At 33.6% G+C, this 17,297-nt stretch overlaps 1 protein-coding gene across 17 annotated transcripts in view; it reads left to right on the top strand.

Annotated features, from left to right (window-relative positions):
• The window catches only part of CENPE (centromere protein E), a 92,533-nt gene extending 75,553 nt beyond the window's left edge, over positions 1-16,980 (top strand). For all 17 annotated transcript variants that reach the window (XM_047449534.1, XM_047449541.1, XM_047449533.1 and 14 more), the window contains 6 exons: positions 2,458-2,643; positions 6,102-6,214; positions 8,239-8,336; positions 11,780-11,963; positions 13,702-13,988; positions 16,475-16,980. In XM_047449534.1, the coding sequence (XP_047305490.1) occupies positions 2,458-2,643; positions 6,102-6,214; positions 8,239-8,336; positions 11,780-11,963; positions 13,702-13,988; positions 16,475-16,569 (963 nt within the window). In that variant the 3' untranslated portion in view covers positions 16,570-16,980. The remainder of the gene's footprint in view (positions 1-2,457; positions 2,644-6,101; positions 6,215-8,238; positions 8,337-11,779; positions 11,964-13,701; positions 13,989-16,474) is intronic.

Here is a 17,297-nt window from a genome sequence, read left to right as displayed (position 1 = left end):
ACTGAACATGAACACATTTATTTTTGTAAGTGATGGGCTTGATTTTTACTAGTAGTTCTACTATGGCTATCGTTCAACTAAACTAATTATAAAGCTAGACATTATGTAAGATATTATTATAAAACATAAATTGTAGCTTCATTTGATTATTACATTCATAAACTATAGTTTAAGTTACTACCAGTTAACGTACAATTACCACAAAAGTTTTCCAAATTATGTGACTTTCTGTTGAACTGTGATCTATGTCCGTATGCAGAACAAATATTAGCTTGGAGAGAAATAGCAATTCAGCTTTTCTCATTATCATCAGCGTATTTAATATTGCTTAATGTTATAATCACAATAAAAATATAAGAGGTTAAAAAATATAACAAGATTGTTACGCAGGTTAACTTGTATCTAAGAACCAGTACATTATTTGATAACCAAATTACCTTATTAACTACCCTTACTCGGGAATCTAACAACATGCGTAAAATGTTGTATTTTGTTAGCACACAAAACGACTTGTAGGGAACCCAATAGTAAATTACAATTTATCATTTTTACCAAAATAAATACTTATAATAAAACATCAACCACCAGCTTAATGAGAACTAGATCACTAGTATACAGTGTTTTGATTTGTAGGGCATTACAGACCTCAGTCAGCTGCTACAGATAAAATAGAGGAAAGATGAAATCCATCTACCAATATAGTAATTTAAAGAAGCAAAAGGAAAGTTGGTCAATCTTCAATGACCAAAGAAAATAGTCTAGCAGATAATAAAATACATGCTACTATCATTAGACAAGTTTGATGCAAAAATGGACAAGTAGAGCAGTGGAACAGAATAGAGGGTTCAGAAATATACCCAATTAAGTATGAGAATTTAGTACAGGTGTATGATAACAGTAACATTCAATTCAGTGGGAAAAAAAAATGGTTTACTTGGCCAGGTGTGTGAGTCTGTAATCCCAGTACTTTGGGAGGCCAAGGTTGGAGGATTACTTGAGCCTAGGAGTTTAAGATAAGCTTGGACAACATAGTGAGACCCTGTCTCTACAAAAAAAAAAGTGTTTTTTTAATATATTATCCAGGTGCAGTGACATCCACCTGTGGTCTCAGCTATGTGGGAGGCTTAGCTGGGAGGATTACTTGAGCCTGGGAGATCGATACTGCAGTGAGCCATGATCATGCCACTGCACACCAGCCTAGGCAACAGAGTGAGGCACTGCCTCAAAAAAAAAAAAAAAAAGAAAGAAAGAAAAGATGGTTTGCTTAGTGCATTATTTTGATACAACAGGATAGCCATCTGGAAAAAAGTAAGGCTGGATTCCTATCTCATTCATTAAACAAAAATGAATTCTAAATGGGCCCCCAAAAATCCAGACATTTTGCCAAAAACAAAAAAGAGTGTGTACATGTGAATTATATGATACCTTTATGAAATGAGATTCTATATGTCCATGAAAACAAAAAATAGGAGAGATCTATGTGTTGATAATGGAAAGATCTGGAAAAAATATGTTCTCAAGTTTTAAAATAAAGCAGAACTATATTTAGTATATTGTGTGTATACTATTTTTAGAAACTATATATTCATGTATATTTGGTTATAGATAGAAAATTTCTGGAAGGATACACCTGAAAAAGTTTAGTAGTCATCGCTTCAGGGTCAACTGGGGGTCTGAGATGGGGAGACTTACTCTTCATTATATGTCTTTGAATTTTTTTCCACATATTTGTGTTTTTCTATTTAAGATTAATAAGGGTGGGCATGGTGGTTCATGCCTTTAATCCCAGCACTTTGGGAGGCCAAGGCAGGCAGATCACCTGAGGTCAGGAATTCAATACCAGCCTGGCCAACGTGGTGAAACCCCGTCTCTACTAAAAGTACAAAAATTAGCTAGGCGTGGTGGCACACACCTGTAGTCCCAGCTACTCGGGAGGCTGAGGCAGGACAATCGCTTGAATCCAGGAGGTGGAGGTTGCAGTGAGTCGAGATTGCGCCACTGCATTCCAGCCTGGGCAACAGAGCAAGACTCCATCTCAAAAAAAAAAAATTAATAAAATTAAAGGGAAAGATAAATATATATTACTTTAGAGAGTCAATTAACCAATGTCCTTTGTTTAAGTGGTGTTCATGTAAAATATGAGTGCCTATTTAATATGCTTAGCACTATGCTAACTAATAAATCGCATAACCACTGTGCTGTTTTTAACTGCATGTTTTAAGAATTTGCAGACAGATTATAATATAAACCTTTGACATTTTCAATCCAAAAATCATCATCTAAATGAGGGAAATAACATGTCTGTAGATTGAATGATGTTTGGCCTCTCTTCTATCCATTGTTAATACAATCTGTGAAAAATTAACAATATCTAAATATGATCATCTCTGTCTCAAATTTCTATACTGTGATTCTGTCTTGATGATAGAGCTTATGAATGTGTGCTTTTTCTAATAGAAAATTCGAGAGCTGGAAAATTCACTGCATGAAGCTAAAGAAAGTGCTATGCATAAGGAAAGCAAGATTATAAAGATGCAGAAAGAACTTGAGGTGACTAATGACATAATAGCAAAACTTCAAGCCAAAGTTCATGAATCAAATAAATGCCTTGAAAAAACAAAAGAGACAATTCAAGTACTTCAGGTAACTTAAACATAAAAATAAAAGTTGTTTGTTTGTTTGTTTGTTTAACCTATTGAATTCAGCAAATCTCCTTGTGCTCTATTCTTCCCTCTCACAACAACTTACTGTTACCTATGTGTTTCTGAAGTTCAGTACTCAAGCAGAAGCAGCTTAACTTAGAAGTGAAATGTAGGAGCATATTGTCATATAAAATATTATTTTTATTATGTTGGAAGAATAATTTTTAAGATATACATGTTGTTTATAGTTTAGTGTATATTTTTTCATTTTTCAAAAATTGCTTATCAAAATATATAATACTATTAGATAAGTAAATTTTTAAATTCTTTTTTTCCTACTTACTGCCTCTGTTACTGAGTCCCACCTGATATCCCATGGGCTGAATCTGACCTGTTTTGGGGGGAAGAACCGTAACTGAAATGTTTTTCAACTTGAATGTCATTAGACAAATCACACACTCATTAATCACTACTTACAGCTCCCTCTTGTTTTAGTTCCAGCCACTTCCCACATTTCTTCTACTCGAGTCTGATCCAAATTGGCATATTTAAATTTGCTGTTCTGCTCCAGTGTCTTTTCTCTCCAGTTAAAATTAGGAACACGTCAAGAATGCCTGCTTTATTCATTATTTAACATTGTTCTAAAAATTCTGGTCTATTCAGTGAGACATGAGCAGAGAGGCAAAAGAAAAAATTAAATTTGTTTTTTCAACAATTGTTATAGCTAGAAACTAAAAAAATTCAACTGTAAAGTTTTAGAATGTTGTAATTTTTTAATATTACAAATAATTGATCACAGTTTTTATTCATTCAACAAATATTTGCTGAGCACCAGCTATGTGTCACTCACTGTTCTAGAGGCCAATGAAAAAACAAAGACCATGCCATCAAGGAACTTACATTCTAGTTGAAGGAGACAGAATATTAATTAAAAATGTAAAACATAGAAGGTATATTTTTATATATGTTATATATATTAAGAGGTATATTATATCTCAAGTGGTGAAAAGTGAAATGGAAAAAATTAAGCCAGACAAGGGGGTACATGGTTCTGGGTGAAAGTGGACATGTGTGGGAAGAGAGATGATTGTATATACAGGAGTTGAGGAATGTCACACCAGTAAGATGATCTGAAGGATGTGATAGGGTGAACTGTGTAGCCAGGGAGAAATATTCCAGGCAAAGGAAATAGCAAACTGAAAACAACAAGAAAGTTTGTGCATCCAGAGCAGAATAAGCAAGAGGATAGAGGTAGAAAATAAGGTGAGAAGTAGCAGAGGACCAGATCATAAAGGCCCTGTAAGCTATTTTAAGAACTCTCATTTCTATTCTGGGAGAGATGGAAACAAAGGCTTCTCAATGGGAAAAGGATAGTCTGATCAACTAATGATGCCAGACAACTGAACATCCACAAGCAAAAAAAGACAAAGAACTTATACTTTTCACAAAAATTAACTCAAAATAGATCATAGGCATACATGTAAAATGCAAAACTAGAAAACTCCAAGAAGATGACATAGGAGAAGTTCTAAGTGACCTTGGGTTTGGCGATTTTTTAAGATATAATACAAGAAGTGCAATCCATAAAGAAAAAAACTGGTAAGTTGGATTTTATTGAGACTTAAACTTCTGCTTTACAAAAGACACTGTCAGGAGAATCAAGAGAAGCCACAGACTGGCAGAAACTGTATATAAAAGATAAATCTGGTGAAGGAATGTTATACAAAATATACAAAGAACTCTTAAAACCAACAATAGGAAACAACCAATCAATCTTAAAATTGGCAAAAGACCCAGATGACAAATAACCATATGAACAGATGCTTCATATCATATGTCATCAGAGAATCACAAATTAAAATAATCGACCATTACAAACCTACCAGAATAGCCAAAATCCAAAACATTGACACCACCAAATGCTGGTGTGTGGAGCAACAAGAATTCTCATTAATTGCTAGTGGAAATGCAAAATGGTACAGCCATTTTGGAAGATGGTTTCGCAGTTTCTTACAAAACTAAGCATACTTGTATGATTGAGCAGTTGTATTCCTTGGTATTTACTCAGATGAGCTGAGAATATATGTGCACACAAAGGGCTGCATGTGTATGTTAATAGCAGCTGTGTTCATAATTGCTAAGACTGTCTTTCAGTGGGTAAATGGATAAACTGGTACATTCATACAGTGGAATAGTATTCAGCAATTAAAAGAAATGAGAGGGCTGGGCGCAGTGGCTCATGCCTGTAATCCCAACACTTTGGGAGGCTGAGGCGGGCGGATCACCTGAGATCAGGATTTCAAGACCAGCCTCCCCAACATGGCAAACACTGTCTTTACTAAAAATACAAAAAAGTAGCCAGGCATGGTGGTAAGCACCTGTAATCCCAGCTACTCAGGGGACTGAGGCAGGAGAATCGCTTGAACCCGGGAGGCGAAGGTTGCAGTGAGCCGAGATCGCACCACTGCACCCCAGCCTAGGTGACAGAGCAAAACTCTGTCTTAAAAAAAAAAAAAAAAAAAAAAAGGAAAGAAAATGAGTGGACTTTTAATACACATTGGTTAGTGAAAGAAGCCAATCTGGAAAGGCTACATACTGTATGATTTCAAGTATATGACATTTTTAGAAAGACAAAACTACAGAGACAGTAAAAAAATAAACAGTTGCCAGGGATAATGGAGAAGAGAGGGATGAATAGGCAAAGCACGGGGTTTTTTAGGACAGTGAAACTATTCTGTATGATACTGTAATGATGGACATGTGCCATTTTACATTTGTCAAAACCCACAGAATGTACAATACAAATAAACTGTCATGGAAATTATAGATTTTAATAATAATGTATCAATATTCATCACTTATAACAAATGCAGCATACTAATGCATGATGTTAATATGGGGAAAAAGGAATAGGGGACACTGGGTATGTAGGAACTCCCAGTATTTTCCATTCCATTTTTCTGGAAACCTGCTGCTGTAAAATATAGTGTTTTGAATCACTGGATGGAACTGTTTCAGTACAAAATATACTTAGTAATGCTTTGTTTTGTGGCTTAAATTTAGTTCTAGTTTGATGTTTACATCACTGCTCCAACATCTTTTTGTTTCATTTTCTGATTTACCTTTTTCCACCCTTTTCATTATTTCCAACTTTTTTCATTTTGTAGGTATTTTCAATTAGAAAAAAAATATTTATTTTAAGAAATAAAAATCATGTTTCTAATTGCATATTATGATAGCTCCAAATAAAAAATCATGTTTCTAATTGCATATTAGCTTCAAATAGACTTCATATCAATATCTAGTTATTCAGTTAAAATTGATGCTTTTTCATATATTTGGAATTGTTTGCTATTTTAAAATGTCCTTATTAGAGCAAAGACAGCTAACCATTCTTTACAACTGGAGAAACTGAAGCGCCTCTAATAATTATTTTTATTTTCTCTAAAAAAAATTTAGGACAAAGTTGCTTTAGGAGCTAAGCCATATAAAGAAGAAATTGAAGATCTCAAAATGAAGCTTGTGAAAATAGACCTAGAGAAAATGAAAAATGCCAAAGAATTTGAAAAGGAGTACGTATTTGTCTTAATTTAATGTGATTTTAATAGCTTAAATTTTCTTCCTAAACTACATATACTTTTCATTAGTTAACTTTTTAAAATATAATTTATGAAAATATTGTTACAGCTCTTTTTTTAAAAATGTACACATCCATAGATTTTAAATATACTGGTCTCATTACATATGCAAAGTTTTTAAAACTAAACACAATTCTGATCAATTAACACGCTGTGTCTTTGAACACTTCTTAGTCATACAGAATATAAACAATTTTAAGTGGCTTTTGTATGCCTGAAAGTGAACATTAAGAGTGTGTGTGTGTGTGTGTGTGTGTGTATTTAGCAGTTTTACTAAGGCTTCTGTTGGTTCTCTTAATTTCATTTGTTGGCCTTACTGTGTTTCTGTGTGAAGATTATATTTCCTTTTAGTTTATAGTTCCCTAGGGCCCAAGAGCAAATCCTCTTTTTATTGATTTATTTATAGGTAGCATTATACATAACAGCATGCCTAAATTCTTTGTGGTATAGCATAATGAAAAGAACATTAAAGAGAGTCAAGGAAACTGAAGTAGAAATACGTTCTCAATCCCAGCACTTTGGGAGGGCTACACGGGCAAATCACGAGGTCAGGAGATAGAGACCATCCTGGCTAACACGGTGAAACCCCGCCTCTACTAAAAATACCAAAAAAATTAGCCGGCATGGTGGCAGGCGCCTGTAGTCCCAGCTACTTGGGAGGCTGAGGCAGGAGAATGGTGTGAACCCGGGAGGCGGAGCTTGCAGTGAGCCGAGATCGCACCACTGCACTCCAGCCTGGGCGACAGAGTGAGACTCCATCTCAAAAAAAAAAAAAAAAAGAAATATGTTCTCACTTACTAATGCATCACCTTACACTGTTTATTCTCTCTGGTCCTCGCATTCATAATCAATAAGGAAAGGTTTATTTAGAGGATTTGTTAGGATGCTTCCTGGCTTTTAACACTTTTCATTCTTCCTATATAAATCTTGAATAAATATTTAATGATCTCTTATTTTGCCCAGGAAGTAGCATTGGAATTTTCATGCTCTCTAAGCAGTCTATTGGTTTCAGTGAAACATAGATCTATTAGATTCTTAATTATAAAAACAATTTTACTTGTAGAATAGGGTCAGCAGGGCCGGGCACGGTGGCTCACGCCTGTGATCCCAGCACTTTGGGAGGCTGAGGCAGGCAGATCACCTGAGGTCAGGAATTTGAGACCAGTCTGGCCAACATGGTGAAACCCCGTCTCTACTAAAAGTACAAAAATTAGCCAGGCGTGGTGGCAGGTGCCTGTAATCCCAGCTACTCAGGAGGCTGAGGCAGGAGAATCGCTTGAGCTCAGGAGGCAGAGGTTGCAGTGAGCTGAGATAGCGCCATTGCACTCCAGCCTGGGGGACAAGACCAAGACTTCGTCTCAAAAAAAAAAAGAAAAGAAAAGTAAAGAATAGGGTCAGCAGATACAGATAATTCATAGTCATTAAGAAAGGCAGAAAGTCTTATAATTTATCGTTACTGATTAATGCGTAAACTAACAACTCATAAAATGTCTCTTTCTACTGGAGAACAGTGATCAGAATTTGACCTTTGTAGCACCTTAGACCAGAGCTGCAGTCAGGGTTTGCTTTCCTGACCATACAGAAATAAAGCTGCACTTTCTCTTTCATGCTCCTTATACCTTCAAATATTTCTAGGACCCCATGGTAAAAAATAATTAGGTAATTATAATTTTGTTCAATATACAATGAATTAGGCCTCCAGAAGCTTTAAAAGAACTGGGGTTTCTCAATATAAGAAAATCGGACTGTCCCTGCACCCAAGCAGAATGCTTCTAGTTTGATGGCATTAATGCCATAAGGCACATGGCACCAGAGAGGTATCACGAGGGCTTATCTACTGCCACTTACAGGCATTATGTCAATGTGATGTGTTAGAAAATCCTTCACAGCAGTTCTGTTTATTCTCCTGTAAAAAATCAGTTGCTGAGCTTTTTACATATTTTTATTGTTTTTGTTAGAATCAGTGCTACAAAAGCCACTGTAGAATATCAAAAGGAAGTTATAAGGCTATTGAGAGAAAATCTCAGAAGAAGTCAACAGGCCCAAGATACCTCAGGTAAGTAGAAAATGCAGATATTTTCAGATGAAATTTTACTTCTCAACACACAACAGACTTTGAAGACTAATATTATGTAGTATGTGACAGTCGAGAGTAAACAGAAGTTGGCCACTAATCTATTTTTAAATGAATTTATTGGAACCATATTTCCAGATATCTTGTGACATCGTTTGTTGTAATCTTAGATGCTTATCCATTATAGATTCTTGAAAAATACGAACTCTGCTTTTGTATTGTCAAATCTTTACCTATTAGTGAAGATACCTTCAGGCAATAAAGGAATGACTTATACTATATCAACATGGAATTATGCTTCCCAATAAAACGAAACACATGTCTTCGTAGATTTTAATTGTATGCATCTAATAAGTTATAATTGGTGTACAGTAAAAATAAATACTATTCTGTTTGTTCTTGAAACTAAAAATACCAAGTTAATATTTACTTGCAAAGGTCTTTGAAATTTATCTGAGATACTTTTTAGATCTGTTGGTCAAATTTCTCAATATACATGCATTCCTCAAACTACCTTTATTCATATTCTGTCTGTCATGTTCCATTTGAAAAGAAAGAATGCTTGAACAGTACTTGAGATAGCTTTACGCAGTAGAACAAGTACTGAACTAAGATGCAGATCTCAATGGCTATATGAAATCGTGGGGTTAGCACCTGACCTTCTAACTTATAAGCATATATGTATGCTTATATATATACTTATTATAAGTATATATACACTTATAAGTATATATACACTTATTATACATATATAAGTATACATAATAAATATATAAGTATATATAGTATAAGTGTATAATATATAAGTAATATATCTATTACTTCTTTATTACTTACATGAGTAATATATAAGTAATATAAAATATATATTACTTATATATTATATATTATATATAAGTTATATATTATATATAATATATATTATAATATATATAAGTATAACATATATAAGTAATATATAAGTTATATATTATATATAAGTAATATGTAAGTAATATATATAAGTAATATATAAGTATATATAGTAAATACTTATATAATTAGAAGTATTATACTTATAAGTCTATAGAAGTATATATACGAGTATATGTACTTATATACTCATACATACTTTTTTACAGGAGAATAAACAGAACTGCTGTGAAGGATTTTCTAATATATACATATATATGTATACACTTATATATACTTATAAGTATATATACACATATACTTAAAAGTATATATATACACTTATATACTTATAAGTATATATACACTTATATACTTATAAGTATATATACACTTATATACTTATAAGTATATATACACATATACTTATAAGTATATATATACACTTATATATACACTTATATACTTATAAGTATATATATACACTTATATACTTATAAGTATATATATACACTTATATACTTATAAGTATATATATACACTTATATACTTATAAGTATATATATACACTTATATACTTATAAGTATATATATACACTTATATACTTATAAGTATATATGTACACTTATATACTTATAAGTATATATGTACACTTATATACTTATAAGTATATATGTACACTTATATACTTATAAGTATATATATACACTTATATACTTATAAGTATATATATACACTTATATACTTATAAGTATATATATACACTTATATACTTATAAGTATATATATACACTTATATACTTATAAGTATATATATACACTTATATACTTATAAGTATATATATACACTTATATATACTTACAAGTATATATGCAGACTTATATATACTTATAAGTATATATCCACTTATATATACTTACAAGTATATATACAGACTTATATATACTTATAAGTATGTATACATTTATAAGTATATATACATACATACACATATATACTTATAAGTGTATATATGTATATGTATATGTGTATATATACATGTATACATAAGTATACTTAGTATATATAAGTATATATGTATAGATATGTATATATAAGTATATGTATGTATAAGTATATAAGTATATACATATATATGTAAGTGTATATTTGTGCGTGCACATGTATATATGTGTATATACTTACATATATATACTTATATATAAGTGTATATATATATACACTTATAAGTATATAGTACAAGCAAATATCTTATGTTTTGCTTAGTATTTGGAATTTTCAATATGCAATATATATTATATATAATACTTATATATTTACAGAATATATAGAATTCTGTATATTATATGTTACAGGATACATATAAGTGTATACACATATATATGCATGTGCACACATATATATAGTTATGCTCACACATATATATGGACATGGTATATGCACATATTTTTTGCAGGTAGTAACACTTCAGTCATGGGGAAAGTAATTTTTAGAGCTCATGTAATAAGTGTCTTTTTTAAAAAAGTGTATATACATATACACTTATTTATATACATGCACACGCACACACACGTACATAAAGATCAAACCGAAAGTTGTGGGTAAAAACACATTGAAAATTCCAAATACTAAGCAAAACATAAGATGATATTTGCTTGTATTATAGTCCACTTGTTTCCAAAAATAGATGGTGCTAAAGGTGTTAAGGTGTTACCTAGTACCTGTTGTAGCTTAAACTTCCCTAGTGTCTGTTACAGGATAACCACAGCACCTACCGAGAAAACTTAAAGGGGTAAAAATAGAAGTGAGGATTCTTTGTTTCAGAAGGTTGAGGATATTTATTCTTGATTTGTAGATGACTTTCAGGTACATAGTGTAGATGAATTCAAAATAAAATAGACATCAAGAATCACCCCCAACACACACACTATCCCTCTTTTGTGAATTCCCAGTGACCTAATGGATTAATCCACTTCATAACTATCTCACATTTTGTGCAACTTTGCCTACAATTTACAAAACACAGTCTCTTTACACACATAGTGTAGAATATTTAATATGTGCTTTAATATTATTGTAACATATATTTAGTTAATAATATGTATTGAATACATATAATGCACTGAATGACGGGGTGGCCCTCCCACCCTACCTCACCTCCCCGCCACACACGCAGTGTGTTGTAACAAGCCCTTCAGGGGAAAACTGATGTAGAAAATATAGATCAATAAAGGACAGCAGTAAGTGGAGAGGATTGCTATTGCTGCAGTCAGGGTGAAAGAGCTTGGTGATCAGGATCAGGATATGTTAGTGGAATTGGTTGAGGGGGATTCTAGAGGCATAGAATTAATGGTTGGTCAAATAAGCAGAGGGAGTAAGGTAGAAGGCAGAAGTCAAGGGTGACTTCCAGGGAAATAAGACTTGAGCTGTTTGGGTCTCTATAATGGCTTATTGTACTTGGTAGTATTTCCTTTATTTTGAACTTTGGAGACAATTAAAATTATCACCTATTTGTATATTTTCCTCCCACAGTGATATCAGAACATACTGATCCTCAGCCTTCAAATAAACCCTTAACTTGTGGAGGTGGCAGCGGCATTGTACAAAACACAAAAGCTCTTATTTTGAAAAGTGAACATATAAGGCTAGAAAAAGAAATTTCTAAGTTAAAGCAGCAAAATGAACAGCTAATAAAACAAAAGAATGAATTGTTAAGGTAAGATCTGCTTACATGATACGGATATTATGCTTACGGCTATTACATATATGTAGGGACATGGTATATGCACGTATTTTTTGCAGGTGGTAACACTTCAGTCATTATGGGGAAAGTAATTTTTAGAGCTCAGGTAATAAGTATCTTTTTTAAAAAATGAGAATATGGTAGCACTATTCCAATGTTTGCTGTCTATCAACTGACCAATTCTTAACCAAGGCAAGAAATAGGAAAGAAACAAAGACCTTTGAGGGGGCAGCTGAAATACACCACAAGTCCATATACCCAAGCCAGTGAGGCTTTACTTAGAGAGGAACTCCTTACGTCCATTATTGTAGGCTTTTTACTTTATAAACAGATCTAACAAATTATTCGGCTTCTACCACGTGGAAGAGTAGAATCTTTTCCCCAAGCACTCTACTATGATACAGTAGAAAAAAAAGCGTTAAATAATTTTACAAATAACTAACTCTGCCATGAGTGCTATTAAAAAAGAAACAAAAACAAAAAGGACATTATAAAAGGGTTATATTATGAAAGAGAGAGATCCAACGTTATCTAGGTGTTAGGGGTGGAGGGTTGGTTGATCAGGAAGCCAACAAACAGGCATACCTCGTTTTATTGCACTTATCTTTCTACTATACACACTGGGAACCCAAAAGATTTCCGCGATTCACTTTATTTCAGTGATCTGGAAACAAACCTGCAATATCTCCAAGGTATGCCTATATCAGAATAGATATGAAAAATGAGTAGGAATTAGGCTAGATGAGGGAAGAAGGATAAGTTTTCCAGGCCAGGGGAACATGTTCACGGGCTTTGAGTTAAGAAGAATAACTAATTGGTGGGACTGAAAGACATCCAGTGTGGCCAGAATGTAGAGAATGAGACAGAGTAAAGTGCAAGACAAGGTGCCAGAGGTAACTAGATTCAGATTACATGGGCCCTTATAGTTCATTTTGAAGAATATGGAGTGGTATCCTAAATGTAATGGCAGGATTACCTGCACTGGAGGGTTTTAAGCTAGTGGCCTGATGAGATCATATAGCATCTTTGGCTGCTAGAGCATTATAGAGGGATCAAATTTTAGAATGTGTTTATGGTAGTTCAGACAAAAAGTAATTTTAGCATGGACTAGCTTGGCCCCAATAGGGATAAAAACAAGGAAGTGAATTTGATAGATAGGATGAGAGTGTATCAAGAGACTTGGATGACTTAAAATAAAAGAGAGTGAGGTCTCTAGGATTGCTTCCCAGGTTTCTCTCCGGAGGAACTGGATAAATGCTGGTGGCATCTCCTGTAAGAAGCAGCATTGTAACTAGAAAAGCACAGTGTAATATTTATTTTACAGTAAGAAAGGTACATCAAAGATTCATCTATCCAGGAGACTAATTTGTCAAATTATTGTGGCAAAGCATCAATAGATAAGCCACTCTGGATTATATCATTGATTCATTTGAAAACCTAATGTTGTACTTAGAGCTTTCTTTTCAAGACTCCATGATCATGGAAACTTACTATATTATTCAATTTATATAGATCCATTTTGTTTTCTGAACTTTGAAAATAGTCAAAACAGGAAGCATGAGGTTGAAATTAAAATGTAAATGTGATAAAATGTACATTTTATGTTATATATATTTCATCACAATTTATTTTTAATTTTTAAATATAAATGTGAATACATCTTAAGAATCAAGAAGTCTTACAGTCTCTCTTTTCTTCCCCCACATTTAAGCAATAATCAGCATCTTTCCAATGAGGTCAAAACTTGGAAGGAAAGAACCCTTAAAAGAGAGGCTCACAAACAAGTAACTTGTGAGAATTCTCCAAAGTCTCCTAAAGTGACTGGAACAGCTTCTAAAAAGAAACAAATTACACCCTCTCAATGCAAGGAACGGAATTTACAAGATCCTGTGCCAAAGGAATCACCAAAATCTTGTTTTTTTGATAGCCGATCAAAGTCTTTACCATCACCTCATCCAGTTCGCTATTTTGATAACTCAAGTTTAGGCCTTTGTCCAGGTAAGTAAATATACTGGTTACTTGGAAATCAGAGGGTAACAGTTGGAACTTATCATTAATATGTGATCCCAAAGGGCAAGTTTAGATAAGAGATGATTTAGTTGAGTAAGCTACAATGACAGGCTTCATTTGCTGACTCTGTAAGAAAGTTGATTTCTCCAAGGCACCCCACACAGTGAAGTGCAATTCACTTTTACCCCAAGTGAAGTCTTTAGTCTACCCTTTAAGCCTTTAGTTTCGTCCAAAGAGAGACAAGCAACTTTCTCAAGGACATGAAGATACTACCCTAAAAAGCAACTTTTACTGAAAAGTCTTATCAATTCAATGGACCAAAATATCCAATAGCATTATATTTACTTTACCCAAGCCAGATAATAGATGAATCATTTACTTATTCATTTATTCAGTCAATAAAATTGTTTTGAGCCCCTACTATGTGTTAAGGATTAGATCCTGGTGGCACATTGATAAGCAAAACCAGACATGATCCCTGCCTTCATAGAGCTTAATTCTCATGGAAGATACAGACAGTAATCAAGTGATTAAAAAAAAAAAAAAGTGAAATTATAGCAGTGCAAGTACAAAAGACTATGAGAAATATAATAAGTATTTGAGGAGTATTGAGGAAGGAAACAGATCAGATCTAAAAGGTTAACATGAGTTATCTTAATAAAGAGCAGAGGGAAAAACATCTCAGGCAGATGGAACAGCAACAGCGTTAGGGTAGGTGGGAACATGACCAGGGGAAGAGTTGAAAGAAATATGGTGTGGTCAGAGCACAGTGAGTACAAGCTTGTGTGGGTGAAGTCAGTGAGGCCAAAGAGAGAAATAAGAGCCAGAAATGCTGGACTTTTATAAATTATATAAAGGAATTGTTTCATTTATTGTGTAGAGGAAGCCTTTGAAAGATCTTAAGCAATGGCAGGAGAACATGAGTTATACATTTTGAAAACATCACCTCGTCTCTAAGGTGACCAGCAAATAATAGGAGCAGGAGTTAGACTGTTGTCTAAACAAGACATGATGGTAGTGTGGACTTGGAGTAGAGAAGGAGAGAAGTAGACCGACGGGAGAGATTTTGGAGTAAAATCAGCAACACCAGGCACCTGATTGAACAAAGGAGTGGGGAGGTATCAAGGATCACCCCCAGCTCTGCATGGAGGTTGTCCACAGAAGTGGGGGGACTTGCAGGAGAAACGGTAACACGGCATTTCTTGTAGTCTTTCTCACCACATAGCATCTACTGTGCACAGCCCTTTGTGACAGTGTGTCTGCCTACCCTACCAGAGGTACCCTGTTATGCAACTGTAGAAATCTAAAGCAACAAAATTGTACAGTAAGAAAGGCAGTTGCCAAATCATTTAAAACCTTGAGCACTATTTGCCAGAGTTTATAAACCTCTACTTTGTGATTAAGAAAAAATCTATCCATTCTCATCAACTACATCAAAATTAGATCAAGTTGACAGTCTAAAAGTGTTCTTAGGGAGATAGGTAGGCACAGAAACATTTGGAATAAAAACATGTTTGAAATATTCTCTTCATTAAATAGTATTTAACAAACATTTAAGGACCTTCTATTGGCTAGCTAACACTTGCATGGAACTCTCTCACTATGTTGCCCAAACTGGCCTTGAACTCCTAGGCTCAAGCAATCCTCCTAAGCATCAAGGACTACAGGTGCATGCTAGCTACCACACCCAGCTGTAATCACCTTTTGATTTTGTCTGCTAGTGCCAGAGGCATATGCATAATGTGAATTCATCAAACTGCAAATAAAAATGTTTGAGTCCTTTTTTAATATGTGGATCTCTCTGGTACTGTTTTTAGATAAATAAAAGAGTAGCCTAGAAGAATACATAAATCAAAAACTGACCAATTCAGAATTAAATGAGATAGTCCCAGCTTGAATTAATACCAGTCTTTAAAAAAATAAATGTGAGTTTTTACTTTTAATTATAAAAGGTAATCTAAATTACCTTAAACTAAGGTAATTGCCAAGACCAGTTATGGTAGATTTACTTTTATAAATATAATAATTGTAAAATAAATATTGTTTATAAGCAAATAGATGCAGCTAAAGTCCTTTTTAAAGGCTCACAGAAAGCTTTCCAAAGATGATTAAATATTCTCTAAAATACTATTTGTTTAGCACACCATTTATTTTGAAAAACAGGACAAAAGAAAACTCAATCAGCCCGTGTTTGATTCACTTTGAATTTCAAATTGAAGAATTCCAAATAAAACTTTATTACCTCTCAGTTTAACTATGGTTTGTCTAATAGTTCATTTTAGGACAAAATGGGGAGTAAACTTCTCCAACTCTGAGGTGAAATACACCATCTTCATGACCAAACACGGTGAATCACGTTGCCATTTTTCATTCTTCACATCTCTCCTGTCTTAACCTCCTTTCCACTTCCAGCTGTGCTTGGTTTTTGTGTATTTTTGTAATAGGATGAATGTTGTTTTCATTTTCTTTCTCAGAGGTGCAAAATGCAGGAGCAGAGAGTGTGGATTCTCAGCCAGGTCCTTGGCACGCCTCCTCAGGCAAGGATGTGCCTGAGTGCAAAACTCAGTAGACTCCTCTTTGTCACTTCTCTGGAGATCCAGCATTCCTTATTTGGAAATGACTTTGTTTATGTGTCTATCCCTGGTAATGATGTTGTAGTGCAGCTTAATTTCAATTCAGTCTTTACTTTGCCACTAGAGTTGAAAGATAAGGGAACAGGAAATGAATGCATTGTGGTAATTTAGAATGGTGATAGCAATACCTTCTTCTTGCATATGGTAATACTTTTAAAAGTTGAATTGTTTTATTTATTTGTATATTTTGTAAAGAATAAAGTTATTGAAAGAAATGTAAAGTTATCTACATGACTTAGCATATTCCAAAGCATAATACATACATTAATATAAAACATCATTTTATTAACAAAATTGTAAATGTTTTTAATACCTTACACATTCAATAAATGTTTAGTAGTTCTGAATCACCGCTCTTCTATATAATGTTAATGGTTTCTTGGTGAGGTAGTCTCTCTTGTTGACTCAGTATTTTGCTATGAAAATATACACAAGTTTTCTGGATCTGGATTTAAATTCTTAAAGGATAGCAGAGGCTATGTCCTCTTAACTTTCCAGTTCTAATATTCCTTTTACTGTAATAACCACAGAAGTTCTTTCTCACATTTCTGGTAACCTACCTATCCCAATCCCTATACAAACTCTCTAAATTGGTTGGTTTATTATAGACTTTGTTTTTCATTGCCCCTCACTCCCAGCCTGGAGGAACCTATAGATCATTTAT

The sequence above is a fragment of the Homo sapiens genome, chromosome 4, assembly GCF_000001405.40.
Source record: "Homo sapiens chromosome 4, GRCh38.p14 Primary Assembly".
Lineage (NCBI taxonomy): Eukaryota > Metazoa > Chordata > Mammalia > Primates > Hominidae > Homo > Homo sapiens.
This window is presented reverse-complemented; position numbering and strand designations above follow the sequence as displayed.